This window comes from Homo sapiens, chromosome X (assembly GCF_000001405.40).
Source record: "Homo sapiens chromosome X, GRCh38.p14 Primary Assembly".
In the NCBI taxonomy this organism is placed as follows: Eukaryota; Metazoa; Chordata; class Mammalia; order Primates; family Hominidae; genus Homo; species Homo sapiens.
The window spans coordinates 135793375-135810850 of NC_000023.11; the positions used below are offsets into that span (position 1 = coordinate 135793375).

Genomic DNA, 17476 nt, shown 5'->3' on the forward strand with positions numbered 1-17476 from the left:
ACTGAACAATGAGAACACATGGACACAGGAAGGGGAACATCACACACTGGGTCCTGTTGTGGGGTGTGGGGAGGGGGGAGGGATAGCATTAGGAGATATACCTAATGTTAAATGATGAGTTAATGGGTGCAGCACACAAAAATGGCACATGTATACATATGTAACAAACCTGCACGTTGTGCACATGTACCCTAAACCTTAAAGTATAATAAAAAAAAGTACCTGGCACAATTAATATTTGTTGAATAATTGAATGAATTAATTTTTTTAAAAAAAGCATAGAATGGGCTGGGTGCAGTGGCTCATGCCTGTAATCCTAGAACCTTGGGAGGCTGAGATGGGCAGATCACTTGAGGCCAGGTTTCGAGACCAGCCTGGACAACATGGCAAAACCCCATCTCCACTAAAAATACAAAAATTGCAGCGTGATGGCACCTGTGGTGCACCTGTAATCCCAGCTACTTCGAAGGCTGAAGCACAAGGATCGCTTGAACTGGGGTGAGGTCGAGGTGGCAGTGACTTGTGATCGTGTCACCGCACTCTAGCCTGGGCAACAGAGCAAGATTCTGTCTTTAAAAAAAATAAAAAGCATAGAACGTTCAAGTCGTATCTGGAAACAACAGCCTTACAGGGACTGCTACTGCAGCTCCAAATTATTGTATCAGACCAATCCTATCTAGGAACTACCTTTATTATATATATTGGATATACCCCCCCACACACGCATACATATATATATATGGGGGTGTATATATAATATGTGTAATGTGTATTATATGTATAATGGGAGATTAGAAAGTGTGTGTGTGCATGTATATATACCCCCTACCAACACACACACACACACACACACACACACACACACACACACACATTAAAATCTCCCATTAGTTCTGCCTTTTCGTTGAAGGCTGATGATACAGATTTCAACATTGAGATCGGGTTCCCACCACACGAGGGGCTAAGGAAGAGTATGTGTGATATGTCTAGAGAGCTTCTTAGTCCTCCCGTGTTTTTCGATTAGAGTTAATGGAAAATCACAGCAACCCCATCCAGGCAGGATATCTAATGGTTCAGACTCTTCCGTAATGAAGGTTTGAGTCATCCTGCCAGGCCAAGCATCATGACCAACTGACATGCTATCTCAGGGCAAAGGGAATGCGAAACGGGTAGCGAAAGAAGGTAGTTATAAACGCCAGCTACATCAGTGTGAGCTGCTGCAGAAACCACGACTGTAATAGTATTTACCTAATGGGTTAATAATATCTACCAGCACAGGTGGGAATACAAAATAACCAAAACACAAGTTATCCTTTCAAATAAAACGCTTTGGGAAAAAGAACATCTTTTACTAACAGAAATTTCTTAGCCTCTGGAAGGCCAGTTGATTCGGTAACATATGCCAGGAGACTTCAGCAATATCCTGCTCCATTGTAGAAAACAGCAATCTGATCCTTTTCTCTCCTCAATCATTAACGAGATTATGCATTTGGGGTGTGATAATCCTCCAGGGACAAGTATTCTCAAATCATACGTTTCAGTTTCTTCTTAAGGTGCTTAACAAAGTCTCGTCTCATACATCTGAAGAGAAAGAGACATGTCATTAACCAAAAGATAGCCAAAGAACCTATGCTGTAGGAAGCGCTGTGACAGATAGAAAGATGAAGTAACAGTCAGCATGGAAATAGAAATGTATCTGCATGGTAAGAGGCAGTCTAGCCGGCATAACAAATGCTGGCAAGGGTGTGGAGAAAAGGGAACCTTCATACACTGTTGGTGAGAATATAAATTACTACAACAACTAACTATGAAGAACAGTTTGGAGGTTCCTCAAACAACTAAAAATGGAGCTATCATATGATCCAGCAATCCCACTGCTGGGTATATACCCAAGAGAAAGGAAGTCAGTGTACCGAACAGATATCTGCACTCCCATGTTTGTTGCAGCACCATCCACAGTAGCCAAGATTTGGAAGCAACCTAAGTGTCCACTAACACATGAATGGGTAAAGAAAATATGGTACATATACACCACAGAGTACTGTTTAGCCATAAAAAAAAGAATGAGATTCAGTCATTTGCAACAACACGGATAGAACCGAAGGTCCTTATGTTAAGTGAAATAAGCCAGGCACAGAAAGACAAACTTCACATGTTCTCACTTATTTTTGGGAGTAAAAGTGTAAAACAACTGAACTAATGGAGATAGAGAGTAGAATGACAGTTACCAGAGGCTACAAAGGTTAGTGGGGGTGGAGGGTGTGGGAAGTGGGGATGATTAATACGTAGAAGTATGGAATAAATAAGATGTCGTATTTCATAGCCAAACAGGGTGACTATAGTCGGTAATAATTTAATTGCACATTTAAAAATAATGAAGAGTATAATTGTATTCTCTGTAACGCAAAGGATAAAAGCTTGAGGTGATAGAAACCCCACTTACCTTGATGTGATTATTACACATTGTTGTCTGTATCACAATATCTCATATAGCCCAGAAATATATGCATCTGCTATGTGCCTACACAAATTTTTTAAAAAGAGGTAGTCTAGCAAATACAAAGAGTGTCAATTGAGGGACAATGCGCACCTCAGACTATGGTGAAAATGGAAGTCTCCATAGTCTTCGAAGAATGAGTTACACTCAGATAACATTAGCCTAAGTAACTGTGGAGACAGCCATAACTGTGAGTGAGGACCAGGGTTTGAGAAACGCAAGGCAGGGGCTGTTCCCCAACGCTCACCCCCAGTGCTCTATTGAGCCCAAGTGCTTAAAGAAATTGGACAGTTCCTATTTCTACCCACCTTGCTGCTTCCTTGATGATGGATTCAAAAAATCGCTTCCTGACTGCAGTAGGTCCTTGCACTCCTTCAAGCATTTCGAAGATTTTTTCATATTCTGAAGATGTTGAAAAAAAAAAAACTTCAGTATTATCAAATATAAAGAAGAATAGAAGTGAATCTACACCTCAGCAATCATGCTTCAGAGGCTGAAATGTTTTAAATGCTTAAATCAAGATACCTGCACATACAAAACCTAAATAATAAAAAAGACACCTGCACATACATACGAATGTAACTCCTTTAACCATAACCAAGTAAGAAAAGAAAAAGAAAAAATGTACATGCTTTAGTCAAAGAAAAGAGGAACCACCATAAATTATGTGCAATCTCAACTCTGGCAAAGAATGAAACTCAACAGGCAACATGAATATCTTCTGAATCATAGAAAGAGAGACTTCCTATAGTTTTATAAAACAGACATTCTTATATTACTTACTTTGTCCAACGCATCGGAGTTCCTTCACTAATTTACGTTTTATATCAGCATTAATTTCTCGTTGGCTTTTGGGAGAGGAGGCTGTTTCTCTGCATTCTAGGTCATCTCCAGAGAAACTGCTGGTAACGTTTCCTCCCACAGGTGCATTGCTACCAGGTTTCTGCATCATCCCATCTTTGCTGAAACCAGTGAAGTCATCAATCTGAGAATCCAATTGGCTGGGTGGAATAGCATGTCCTGTCATAAGCTCTGGTGAAACAGATTTTGAGTAAAAGCCATCAGTTGGTGTTTGACCACTTTCTTTCCCCTCCACATAGACCTCATGAATGACAGCTCTGGAAATCAAACTGAGAAGCTGAGCTGTGAGATATGTGTGTTTCATCACCCCTCTGGGTACATCTATGTGCTCCTCAGTTTCTAGGGAATTATTTATTTCATAAATGGGAGGATACACCAGGGAGAAATCCCAGGCCTGACAAACGGAGGCCAGGACACATAATACAATAAAACCACCTCTTATTTTCTGGCCCTATGAATAGACATGGAAACCAAGTAAGGCAGTACAACTCTAAAGCAACATTCACAGATCCCTGGTACTCATGGGACAGTTTCAGCTTGTTATGCTTTACAAGTTGAAAGCAGCAAGTCTCACTTGATATCATGATTTCTCAAATTCACTTACAAACTGCCATGTTTTACTAAGCTGGAAGCCAGACAACTTGGACACACCTCAACCAGCCTCCTCTCTACATCAAACATATTCTGAGAAAATAGAGGTGGCCATTACTGCTGAAAGTTCTATATGTACTCCATCAACAAAAAATCCCTTTTAGTGTATGATTTTCCTCATCCTTCCTTTCTGTCTCACAAAAGTGACTTTCTTTTCACTCCAGGTCTGACACCTCTCATTTATTCATCGTCTGTGGCAGGCAGCGTGCCGGTAGCTGGGGATCAGCAGTAAACAGCCCAGAGAGCAACGTTCCCTGCCCTTCTGGAGCTCACATCCTCATGGGGCGGTCAGACAGTACGTGCACAATGAGCAAATGAAACATACAGTGTTGGGCTAGTGGTAAGGAAGCAGTCCACAGGCCTGTGGGCAACAGCAGCAGAGGGAGCCCCAGGAGCTGCTGCTGGTTGGGCAGAGCCTTCTGTGGAGGTACCCTTGGGCAGGGCTTGAAGGAAAAAGCAGAGCTGCCTGCGCAGAGGCAGAGGGGGAGTTCCAGGTTGCGGTGAGGCCAAGGATATGGGCTGGAGTGGGGATGGACCGGGCACTATGGGGTGAAGGACAGTAGCAGAGAGAGTCAGGAGATGATGGGGCCCGTGTGAGGAGAGGGTGACGGAGGCCAGGCCACGCAGAACCTCGCAGACCAAAGCTGCTTCGCAGTCGGTTCTGAGTGCTTAGGAGTGTTGAGGATGGGTGTTCAGGAGCGACATGGCATCACGTGATTTACATGCCAACATCATGACCCGGCTGCAGGGTTGGAGGGTATGTGTTTGATGCGGGAAATAATGGGAAACATGGAGGTATCTCAGGAGCTCAGTGATTGATCGTGGCAGAGTGGAATAGAAGGAGAGGGAGAGATGCTGGGGTTCAGGAATTTTTACAGTATTTAGAGAAGAGAAGAAAAAGAAATGTAGAAAAAAACAATGATGGGGTCGGGGGCGGTGGCTCGTGCGTGTAATCCCAGCACTTTGGGAGGCTGAGGTGGGTGGATCACCTGAGGGGGGGAGTTCCAGACCAGCCTGGCCGACATGGCGAAACCCCATCTCTACTAAACTTACAAAAATTAGCTGGGTGTGGTGGCTGGTGCTTGTAATCCCGCTACTCGGGAGGCTGCGGCAGAAGAATCACTTGAACCCAGGAGACGGAGATTTCAGTGAGCCGAGATCGCGCCACTGCACTCCAGCCTGGCTGAGAAGAGCGAAACTCCATCTCAAGAAAAAAATGATAGGGATTCACCAATACGGACAAGAAATTAAAAAAAAAAAAAAAAGATTGTCGGAAATGGAAATCCTAGAAGGTTTTCATGAAGAAGCGAGTGAACAACTGTCAAATGCTGCTGAGAAGTTAATGGCAATGTCAGCCGAAACTGTTAACCTTGACAAGGACAGTTTCTCTGGAGGGGATGAGGCAGGAGCATGAGGAGGACGTGAGGACAGGCTTACTTACTCTTTTCTTTGGACATGGCAGAGCCTGCAATAAGGCTGTCTCCTGCTCCTTGTTTCCTTGCCAACAGGGCCATCCTCTGCCTTTTCTGATACGAAGGACTGTCACATTCCCTGGGACGTTTAAACACAGTTTCAGGATCTACAGCCACCTTCTCTGTTTTATCGGTCATTGTTTCCTGAAAAACATCAATGAATATATTCTATTCATGACAAAAATCTAACAATCACAAAATGGCAAGCAATCTGCATATGTGTATACAACCAAGACTTTGAATCATTAATTTCACTTTTAATCATGAGCCAAGATTTACCAAGTCTCAACAAACACTCTGTTCTCAGGAAAAGAAACCTAATTTTAATGTACACAAAGTAAAACAGAAGAAAGATGGTATAACCAAATCAATCAGAATGCTTGTGGAATAAGCAGCTGTCATCAACCAAAAATAGATAAAAATATTATTACCTATTTGAAGATGTATAAGCCAATCTGTATTAACCCTTATTAGAAAAAATGGATGTATAAACCAATCTGTATTAACCCTTATTATACATTATATTTTAAATTATATATTATATATCATATATATTTAATATATAAGTATTTATGCTTATATATTCAAATAGATGCATAAACCAACGTGTATTAACCCTTATTAGGAACCCTTATTAGAAGATTGATACAAAACTGATAACAACATCTGACAAGGAATTTAGAAGAATGAAAAACTACAAGATCAAGCCAAAAATACAAGCCAAGATCACCCCGAACTTAGACACAAAAATTCCAAACTAAGGGTGAGCAAATAAAATGTACTAGTACTTAAAAAGGACATACATCAGCCATGGTGGAGTATATTGCAGAAAGGCAACACTGATTTAACATTTGAAAATCGACAAATGTAGTGCACCACATTAACAACAACAACAACAACAACAACAAAAACAGGGAAACACCGCATGATCATTTTCATACATGGATCAATGTTTAAAGTCCATTCGTGATAAAAACTATCACCAACTTAGGAAAAAGGGCAACTTTCCTATTCTGGTTAGCATATGTACAAAAAATTTTTAAATGCCATACTTCATAGTGACGTATCAGTATTTTCTCCCTGAGTTTGAAAACAAGACAAAGATGTCCACTATCCATTCAACAATTTACTGGAGGTTCCAAAAAGTGCCATATCATCAGGAAAATACAATAGGTTTAAAATTTGGAAAGAAATAAAACTGTCATTATTCACAGATGACATTGTTCTGTACATAGAAAAATGCAGAAGAATAAAATCATTACAGTTAATAAGCAAATTTAGTCAACTTACTAGATACAATGAAAACCAATGGCATTTCTGTATAATGAATAGCAATTCTGTATAATGAATGGCATTATACAGAATGGCAATTCTGTATAACGAATAATTAGAATATGAGATTTCAAATGTCATTAAAAACAGTTCCAAAAACATCAAATATTTAGGAATAAATCTAATCAAGATGTGCTAGAGTACTTCACAAAAATTATAAAACATCACTCAGAGAAATTCAAGACTGCAGTAAATGGAGAAAAATATTCTTTCCATGCATTGGAAGACATTACTTTTTTTTTTTTTGAGTCGGAGCCTCGCTCTGTCACCCAGGCTGCAGTGGAGTGGCACAGTCTCTGCTCACTGCAACCTCCACTTCCCAGGTTCAAGCAATTCTCCTGCCTCAGCCTCCTGAGTAGCTGCGATTACGGGCGCCTGCCACGACGCTGGATAAAGAAAATGTGGTACATATACACCACGGAATACTATGCAGCCATAAAAAAGAATGAGTTCATGTCCTTTGAAGGGACATGTGTCAGCAAGCTAACACAGGAACAGAAAACCAAACACCACGTGTCCTCACTCATAAGTGGGAGTTGAACAATGAGAACACATGGACGCGGGGAGAAGAACATCACACAGTGGGGCCTGTCAGGGGTTGGGGGGCTAGGGGAGGGATAGCGTTAGAGAAATACCTAAGGTAGATGACGGGTCAATGGGTGCAGCAAACAACCATGGCATGTGTCTTCCTATGTAACAAACCTGCACGTTCTGCCCATGTATCCCAGAACTTAAAGTATAATTTTAAGAAAAGGAATATTATCGTAATGGCATTGGGTGAGTCAAAGATGTTTCTTAAAATAATAAAAAGCACTATCCATAAATAATACACTAATTAATAAAATTAAGAGAATCTGTTCATCTACAACACATTATTGAGATCGTGTAAAAGCAAAAAAGATTTATAGAAGATACTAAAATTGTATATGTATTTTTGTATATGTACATATACGCCTGTGTGCCTGTGCGTATAACTCAAATACAGAATATATGGAAACTACAAATCCATTTTTAAAATACAAACATCTCAGTAAAAGCTGGGGGAAAATACCTGAAAAGGAACTTCATAAAAGGCATAGTTAAATGACCAATAAACACATAAAATGGTGCTAAAAAAAAAAAAAAAAGAAAACAATAAATAGCTGGGTGTGGTGGCACTGCAATCCAGTCTGGGTGACAGAGGGAGACCTCATCTCAAAAGACAAACAAAAATCAATAAATAAAAACAATTTCTTAAAAAGGTGCTCGATCTCATTAATCAGCAGAGAAATGCGAGTGTAGACATAAGGAGAGATCACTGCACACCCATCAGAGTGGCTGGAATGAAAGACTAACTGTACTGCGAGTGTTCGAATGTGGCACAGCTGGAACCTTCGAATATTTCTGGACTCCCATTCCCACACAGACACCTGAGGCTGTGGCTGAAAGGTCAGATAGAATCCCAGGAAAGAGCTCCTTCAGAATTGCGATCAACCAACCAACCGAGGAAAAGCACCCCAACCTGGGTCGAGACAGAGTTCCCAAGGTCACGTGGCCTCCTTCATGGCTGACACAGAGCTCCCTGAGTCCCACCATAGGCTTAGAGAATCCAAGGAACATTACCCCATTCCCCGGCGGCACCGGGAGAGAGCACCTACAGATAATAATTTTAAAAACCCAGCACCAAGAGAAAGCATCCATCCAGTAAGCGTCCACAACGGGGATAAGCAGAACCAAAGAAAAGCCAACACATTGTAACTGAGAGCGAGCAACATCCGAGGACAAATGCGCCTCACGGCCGACATCAGTACCCAAGGAAGAGTCCACCAGAGGTTGAGATAAAGCCCCCGACAGTGACCCCACAGGGCTACGATCATGTGTCCGGGGCACAGCCACCCCCACCACGTTCCATGAGCACAGATAGTGACCCCAGGGCAGAGTCCCCCCTCAGGACAGCGACTGAGCGGGAAAGAAACACCGCCGCACCCGAGGCCGACACAGGCAACCAAGGCATGGCCCCCACCCCCCGGGCTCAGGTCATTTCAGCAGGAAAAGTCGCCTTTTCCATCACCGACAGGGAGCCCCCAACAAGAGCCCCCAAGAAAAGCCCCCTGGCCCCACAACATAGCCGAGACGGGGTGCCCAAGGAAAACGCTCCCCCGCGGCTGACACAGGCGCCCATGGCGGTGTCCCCAGAGCTAAGCCACTTCCCCAAGGGAGCCCTCCCACACACCGGACAGAGAACACCACAGAAAAGACTCTTTCTGAGGAAAAAGGACACTTTCCAGGGCGAAATTAAAGCATCCAGGGAAAAACTGCCCACTCACAGTCCTGAAGTCCTGACCTTGCTGGAGGAGAGACGGCGGCACCTCACAAAATGGCAGTGAAGTTGTGGCGCCTCCCCACTGGTGGCACTTTCTAGAAACCTGCCCTCTGGGAGTTGTGGGAAATGTGCCCCCTAGGGCACCTGGGAGTGATGTGCATGGGGAGGCGTCTCACCAGAAGCACCGATCCCGTTTGGCCCAAGGGGGATGGGAGGAAGGGAAGTAGCCAGCCACAGCGTGCCTGCCCCAGCCGAACACTGGGAACCTGTTGGGGGCGCCAGAGCGCTGAGGAGAAGCCTCGTGCCCCAGAGAACCAGGAAGCGCAGCCCTCCCCTTCGCTGACTCTGGCGCCCTCTACAGGCGACCTTCAGTAACAACTGCACAGCAACGTATGCGGAGGAATGCAGAACCTTCTCACCCAGCGGGATGAAATCGCCTGGGTAACATAGTGAGACCCCGGCTCTACAAAGCAACCAACTAATCAAAAAAGAAAGAAAGAAAGAAAGAAAGAAACACACAAATTAGCTGGGCCTAGTGGCCTCGCACCTGTGGTCCCAACTACTCGGGAAGTTGAGGTGGGAGGATGGCTTGAACCCGGGAGGTGGAGGTAGCAGTGAGCCACTGCACTCCAGCCCAGGCGGTAGAGGAGACCCCACCTCAGAAAAAAAAAAAAAAAAAAAAAGAAAGAAAGAAGGAAAAGAAAAGAAAAAGAAAAAGAACAACAACAAACTGCAATTTTCATTTGAGGGGGTTGTGTTTTAAAGTCAACCCCGACCCGCCACAGTGGCTCACGCCTGTAATCTCAACACTTTGGGAGGCCGAAGGGGCTGGACCACCTGAGGTCAGGAGTTCGAGACCAGTCTGTCTGACCAACATGGTGAATCCCGTCTCTACTAAAAATACAGAAAATTACCGGGCGTGGTGGCATGCACCTATAATCCCACCAGCTACTTGGGAGGCTGAGGCTGGAGAATCGCTTGAACCGGGCAGGCAGAATTTGCAGTGAGCTGAGATCATGCCACTGCACTCCAGCCTGGGTAACAGAGTGAGACTCTGTCTAAAAATAAAAATCAATCAATCAATAAATAAAGTCAACCTCTATCTGTTAAAGGTAACCATTATTGTTAATTGATAAGAAAAATGAGGGCCCCAGTGCGGTCGCTCACGTCTGTAATCCCAGCAATTTGGGAGACCAAGAGGGGTGGATTCCTTGAGCCCAGGAGTTCAAGAGCAGCCTGGGCAGCATGGTGAAACCCCATCTTAACACAAAATACAAAAATTAGCTGAGCGTGTAACTGTGGTCCCAGCTGCTCGGGAGGCTTGACACCAGGAGGTTGAGGCTGCATTGACCTTTGTTCGCACCATTGCACTATAGCCTGGGTGACAGAGTAAGACTGTCTACAAAAAAAAAGAAAGAGAGAAAGAAAGAAAGAAAGAGAAAGAAAAAAGAAGGAAGGAAGGAAAGAAAGAACGAAAGAAAGAAAGGAAGGAAGAAAGGAAGGATGGAAGAAAGAAGGGAAGAAAGGAAGAAAGGAAGGATGGAAGAAAGAAGGGAAGAAAGGAAGAAAGAAAGAGAGAAAGAAAGAAAGGATGGAAGGAGGGGAAACCTTATTATATTGCATCTATTAATCATTTTAATCTGGAACTTTGTATATTTTTCCACCTTTTTTATTTTTTTTGAGACAGTCTGGCTCTGTCACCCAGGCTGGAGTGCAGTGGCATGATCTTGGCTCACTGCAACCTCCGCCTCCCAGGTTCAAGCAGTTCTCCTTCCTCAGCCTCCCGAGAAGCTGGGATTACAGGCATGTACCACCATGCCCGGCTGGTATTTGTATTTTTAGCAGAGACGGTGTTTCACAATGTTCTCCAGGCTGGTCTCAAACTCCTGACTTTAAGTGATTCATCTGCCTTGGCCTCCCAAAGTCCTGGGATTACAGGGGAGAGCCACCATGCCCGGCCCATTTTTCTACTTTCACAACTTATTTTAAGTGCAGCAAAATTTACTTGAATTGTCCATAGTGGTAAAAAATATTACAGCGAAATTTTTCGAGTTTTAATGGAACAGGCAGTTTCACTATTGACACAATTATTTGGAAGGGATTACTTCACTGGTTTTGTAATTCAAAAGTTATGTTTGTAAAAAACTTAAAATTAAAATTAAAAAATATAGCCAGGCATGGTGGTGGGCACCTGTACTCCCTGCTACTAGGGCAGCAGAGGCAGGAGAATCACTTGAACCTGAGAGGTGCAAGCTTCAGTGAGCAGAGATCGCGTCACTGCACTCCAAAGGGGCAGAGATCCATTGTCACTGGGGGACAAAGGGAGAGTCCGTCTCAAAATAAATTAATTAATTAAAATTAAAATTAAAAATTATGTTTGTTAAGTACCCTGTTAGAAGAGAGTCATATTCAGTATTACAGCTTCTTAGCCTATTGTGTTAATATTTGCCTGTGCTTCAGAACCTTCATAGAACACATTTTCTTTTGGAATATATTTGATTGATAGGAAAGCTTAAACATTGTTTTCACTTTGATGTAGGAACAGTTGTTTTGTTTGTTTCCTCTAGTGCTATCAAAATAAAATACTCATTTTTTGCATTAAAAAAATCCCACCAGAGCAGTACTCATAGGAGTATTTGATTGAATAACCATGAGACTGGAATCTTGTTGGGGCTTAATTAGAATCCTGCCTACCACACAAGCCACAAGTGGACAGCTGCATACGACAGTCCTGACTGGGACAGCCCTGAAGGACAGTGATGAAGGGAAATCCTCCCAGAGGGAAGAACTTTGAGCAGTGCACCTTCTTGGAGGAGGCATATCCAGACGTGTAAGTATGTATCATGCATAGGCTGTGTCCCACTCATTCGCTGAATTGTCAGGGACTTTGAGAACACACGATTAAAAATGTGCGACAAAGAAGTCTGAGAAAAAAAAAAATATGTGGACAGGCCTGTCCAAACGGACATACAATGTGAAGATATTGGGGTCTCATGAGAGTTCTCAGCAAAGGGTATCCTCAGCAGAGCAGAATTTTAATAATCAGATGGATAAGGTACTTATTATCTAGGTATTAATCAGCCTCTTTCCCTAACACGTGTGTCACAATCTTACCGGCTCAACAAACAAAGTGGTCAAACTGGCAGGGTTGGAGATTATGCGCAGTAGCATGGACCTCCACTCACCATGGCAAACCTGGCTACGGTCATTGCTGAGTGAAAAATCTTCCAGGAATGGAGACCAACACTAAGCCCCCAATTTGGCACCAGACTCCAGAATGATCTGCCAGCCACTAGTTGGTATGTGGATTACAATAGATCACTTCTATTATAAAAAGAGAAGTGCTTTCTTCTTACCTGAACAGACATTTAGTCTAGATATGGATTTTCCTTCCCACTTGCAGTGCTTTTGAGAAAACCAATGTTTGTATCTCGGCTTCCAAAATTCTGGAAAGCGCTAGTTCCTCAAGTTCCTAGGGTTATTCATTCTGGAGACTCTAGTATACTCTGCAAGAAAACCTGTAGGCCATCCACCAAAATGCCCAAATGGAGTCACTCTTAAATAACGAGCCCCGCATGTTTCCAGAAACTCTAATTATCAGTGAAAAGTTTACTATAGCAGCGATTTCGCCACCCAGGGCAATTGGAGAATGGCAGATACTAGGGACCATTAACTCTGTGAAAGCTGTAGAAGACTGCAGTCAAGACAGTTACAGAACCAAAAGTGACAGTCTTCTATTTTCGATGTTTGTACAAAGAGGACATACAATTAATAAAGTGGTCGAGGAACAGGTTTCTGCTTTAATACCAAAAACTAACATAGAAACCTGTAAAGGTGTCCAAGTATAGTAATCCTTTTCCTGTGTATTTGGTTAAGATTTAAAACTGAAGCTTTCTTTGTTAGCTTTTTTAAAATTATAGATGCCAGAAGGGTACATGTACAGATTTCTCACTTGGATATAATTGCACAGTGCCGGGGTTTGGGCTTCTAGTGAACTCATCACCCAAATAGTGAAGAGAGTATCCAATAGGTAGTTTTTCAACCCTCCGACCCGCTCCCTCCCTCCCCTCTACCTCCATTTTGGAGTCCCCAGAGTCAATGGTTTCTACCTTTATTTTCATGTGTACCCATTGTTTAGCTCCCACATATGAATGAGAACACGCAGTATCTCATTTTCTGATTATCAGATTTTGCTTCTGCGTTTCACTTAAAAGTGAAGTTTTCACCGGACACAGTGGCTCACGCCTGTAATCCCAGGATTTGGGAGGCAGAAGCGGGTGGATCACTTGAGGTCAGGAGTTCCAGACGAGGCTGGCCAAAGTGGCGAAACCACATCTCTACCAAAAATACAAAAAATAGCTGGGGCCCTGCGCAGTGGCTCGCACTTGCACTTTGGGAGTCTGAGGTGGGCATATCACTTGAGGTCAGGAGTTTGAGACTAGCCTGGCCAACATGGTGAAACTCTGTCTCTACTAAGAAATACAAACAATTAGCCAGGTGTGATAATGCATTTCTATAGTCCCAGCTACACAAGGAGGCTGAGGCAAGAGAACTGCTTGAACCCGGGAGGTGGAGGTTGCAGTGAGCCGAGATTGCACCATAAACTTAATCAAATTGTTGTTCCAACTGCAGCTGCTGTACTACAAGTGGTTTTGTTGTGTCAGCAACTGTGACATCCCTCGGAACCTGATATACAATACTGATTAGGTGAATGTTTGGCTTTCTTTCAGTAATTGTCGTAAACAAGAATTTCAATTCAGCTAGAAAGGACAGCAATGTACTATCATTTCCTATTTCAAGCTTATATCAACTCTCTAGGTTTATATCCTAAACGAGTTCTTAGGGAAAATGGCCACCTTTCTCTTAAACCAGATGTGACACCATTCTTTGCAGTGATGACATCATGCTGACTGAAAAGGAGGTAGCAACTAATCCAGACATGGTAGCAACACACTTGCAAGACATTATGTGAGAAATAATTCTCACACAAAATCAGGGGCCTTCTAACTGAGTGAAGCGTTTAACAATCTGGTAGTCTGGCATGTCAAGATGGTGGTTATAAGGTGAACAGCAAGTTCTTACATCTTGCCTTTCTTACTACTAAATAAGGAACATGAAACGAGTTGCATAATCGATGCTTGTTTTAGCATATACCTAAATGTTGTGCAGTACCGTGGACCCATTGACAAGTGACTGAAACCCTGCTAGCATGGACCGGGGCCCAGAAAAAGAGAAGCTTCCCTAATCCTGCACCTGTGGTCTCATGTGGAGTTCCCTGAGACCAGTTGACTAGAAAATAAAAAACATCATGCCTGATTTTCATTTGTTACTTCAGAATATGCAGGCACCACATCTGTTAGGTTTGTTACTAATGCAAAAGAAATTGTCCCCGATTCAGCAGCTTAAAATAACACAAATATATAAGCAGTTCTGTAGATCAGAAATCCATGCAGGCTGGATTGGTTTCTCTGCTTAGGATCTCACAAAATCAAAGTTAGGGTATCAACCAGGCTGCTGACTAACTAAGGACTCAGAGAGAACCTGTTTTCAAGCACATTTGGGTTACGGGCAGGTCTAACTTCTTAAAGTTGTGGAACTGAGGTAGCCGTATACTTGCGGTCTTGGCTGAGGCCACTCTAAGCTACCTGAGACCCCTCCATACCTACTTGGGTGCACCCCTCTATCTTCTAAGCAGTAATGGTGCATCATGATTATGGTGGCTGAGATAAAGCTTATTTACGGGTTTGGCAACATGAACTTTCATTTACCAGGTCCATCTCACTACAGCCACTGCTCACTATTCAATCTGACAGCAGCAGAGACCAACACTGAGTCCCCAATATGGCACCATGTCCCAGAGTGGTCAGTCAGCTTCCAGGTAGCACTGTGATTACTTGGGTCTGCTTCCACGATTGAAGGGGTATCACTTTGATCTTCCTCAAATAGACACTTATTCTGCATATGGATTTTCATTCCCACCCATGGAACTTCAAGGAAATCGGTACTGTGGTATGAGGAAAGGCTGTATCCACCGTCGTGGTATTCCACACTGCACCAGTTTTAAACATCAAACTCACTTTACAGGCAATGAAGTATGGGAATGGGCTCATGCTAATGTACTTCACTAGTCTTGTGATGTTCTTCAACATCCTGAAATGGCTGGCTCAATAGAACATTGGAGGACCTTTTAAAGCCTGAGTTGTCATTGCAGCTTTGTGGCAGTGCCTTGTGGGGCTTGGCTGACAATCTAGAAAGTGGCAAAGCTGAATCCTAGCCTCAAGTATATGGAACTATTTCTCCCATAGCCACATTTATGACTTCAAGAATGAAGGAGGCAATATGTGGGCCTTCTCTCACTATTACTCCTGGGTATCTAGTAACAAAATGTTGCTTCTTATGCTCAAGAAGCAAACTGTGCACCAAGAAGCCAACTTTTGGCTCTGCTGGACTAGAGGACTTAGTTACACATTGAGGAATTTTTTCAACAGGGGAAACCAAAGTGATTCCACCAAAATGAAAGTTGTTCCGTATGAACTTTAAAGTAGTTTTTTCCAATTCTGTGAAGAAAGTCATTGGTAGCTTGATGGGGATGGCATTGAATCTATAAATTACCCTGGGCAATATGGCCATTTTCACGATATTGATTCTTCCTACCCATGAGCATGGAATGTTGTTCCATTTGTTTGTGTCCTCTTTTATTTCATTGAGCACTGGTTTGTAGTTCTCCTTGAAGAGGTCCTTCACGTCCCTTGTAAGTTGGATTCCTAGGTATTTTATTATCTTTGAAGCAATTGTGCATGGGAGTTCACTCATGATTTGGCTCTCTGTTTGTCTGTTACTGGTGTATAAGAATGCTTGTGATTTTTGCACACTGATTTTGGAACCAAAAAAGAGCCCGCATTGCCAAGTCAATCCTAAGCCAAAAGAACAAAGCTGGAGGCATCACGCTACCTGACTTCAAACTATACTACAAGTCTACAGTAACCAAAACAGCATGGTACTGTTATCAAAACAGAGATATAGACCAATGGAACAGAACAGAGCCCTCAGAAATAATGCTGCATATCTACAACTATCTGATCTTTGACAAACCTGACAAAAACAAGAAATGGGGAAAGGATTCCCTATTTAATAAATGGTGCTGGGAAAACTGGCTAGCCATATGGAGAAAGATGAAATGGGATCCCTTCCTTACACTTTATACAAAAATTAATTCAAGATGGATTCAAGACTTACATGTTAGACCTAAAACCATAAAAACCCTAGAAGAAAACCTAGGCTATAATACCATTCAGGACATAGGCATGGGCAAGGACTTCACGTCTAAAACACCAAAAGCAATGGCAACAAAAGTCAAAATTGACAAATGGGATCTAATTAAACTAAAGAGTTTCTGCACGGCAAAAGAAACTACCATCAGAGTGAACAGGCAACCTACAGAATGGGAGGAAATTTTTGCAGTCTACTCATCTGACAAAGGGCTAATATCCAGAATCTACAACGAACTCAAACAAATTTACAAGAAAAAAACAAACAACCCCATCAACAAGCGGGCGAAGGATATGAACAGATACTTCTCAAAAGAAGACATTTATGCAGCCAACAGACACATGAAAACATGCTCATCATCACTGGCCATCAGATAAATGCAAATCAAAACCACAATGAGATACCATCTCACACCAGTTAGAATGGCAATCATTAAAAAGTCAGGAAACAACAGGTGCTGGAGAGGATGTGGACAAATAGGAACACTTTTACACTGTTGGTGGGACTGTAAACTAGTTCAACCATTGTGGAAGTCAGTGTGGCGATTCCTCAGGGATCTAGAACTAGAAATACCATTTGACCCAGCCATCCCATTACTGAGTATATACCCAAAGGATTATAAAACATGCTGCTATAAAGACACATGCACACGTATGTTTATTGTGGCACTATTCACAATAGCAAAGACTTGGAACCAACCCAAATGTCCAACAATGATAGACTGGATTAAGAAAACGTGGCACATATACACCATGGAATACTATGCAGCCATGAAAAATGATGAGTTCATGTCCTTTGTAGGGACATGGATGAAGCTGGAAACCATCATTCTCAGCAAACTATCGCAAGGACAAAAAACCAAACACCGCATGTTCTCCCTCATAGGTGGGAACTGAACAATGAGAACACATGGACACAGGAAGGGGAACATCACACACTGGGTCCTGTTGTGGGGTGTGGGGAGGGGGGAGGGATAGCATTAGGAGATATACCTAATGTTAAATGATGAGTTAATGGGTGCAGCACACAAAAATGGCACATGTATACATATGTAACAAACCTGCACGTTGTGCACATGTACCCTAAACCTTA

At 42.7% G+C, this 17476-nt stretch overlaps 1 protein-coding gene across 3 annotated transcripts; it reads right to left on the reverse strand.

Moving 5' to 3' along the window:
• Positions 1-1310: 1310 nt before the first annotated feature.
• CT45A6 (cancer/testis antigen family 45 member A6) lies at positions 1311-9413 on the reverse strand. Of its 3 annotated transcripts, none has more exons than NM_001017438.3 (5): positions 9137-9413; positions 5451-5625; positions 3281-3529; positions 2806-2899; positions 1311-1581 (listed from the first exon to the last, which is right to left on the reverse strand). In NM_001017438.3, the coding sequence occupies exons 2-5, from the start codon at positions 5617-5619 to the stop codon at positions 1524-1526; spliced, it is 570 nt and encodes a 189-aa protein (NP_001017438.2). In that variant the 5' UTR covers positions 5620-5625; positions 9137-9413; the 3' UTR covers positions 1311-1523. The 3 variants fall into 3 exon arrangements, with proteins under 3 accessions (NP_001017438.2, XP_011529653.1, XP_005262482.2); XM_011531351.3 differs by having other exon boundaries at positions 9292-9381; XM_005262425.5 differs by having other exon boundaries at positions 9120-9278.

Coding starts and splice junctions, on each gene's coding strand:
- CT45A6 (NM_001017438.3), bottom strand. CDS start 5,619: ATGACCGATAAAACAGAGAAGGTGGCTGTAGATCCTGAAACTGTGTTT. Junction 3,530..5,450: donor TGCCATGTCCAAAGAAAAGA/GTAAGTAAGCCT, acceptor CTGTTTCACCAG/AGCTTATGACAGGACATGCT. Junction 1,582..2,805: donor ATCATCAAGGAAGCAGCAAG/GTGGGTAGAAAT, acceptor CTTTCTCTTCAG/ATGTATGAGACGAGACTTTG.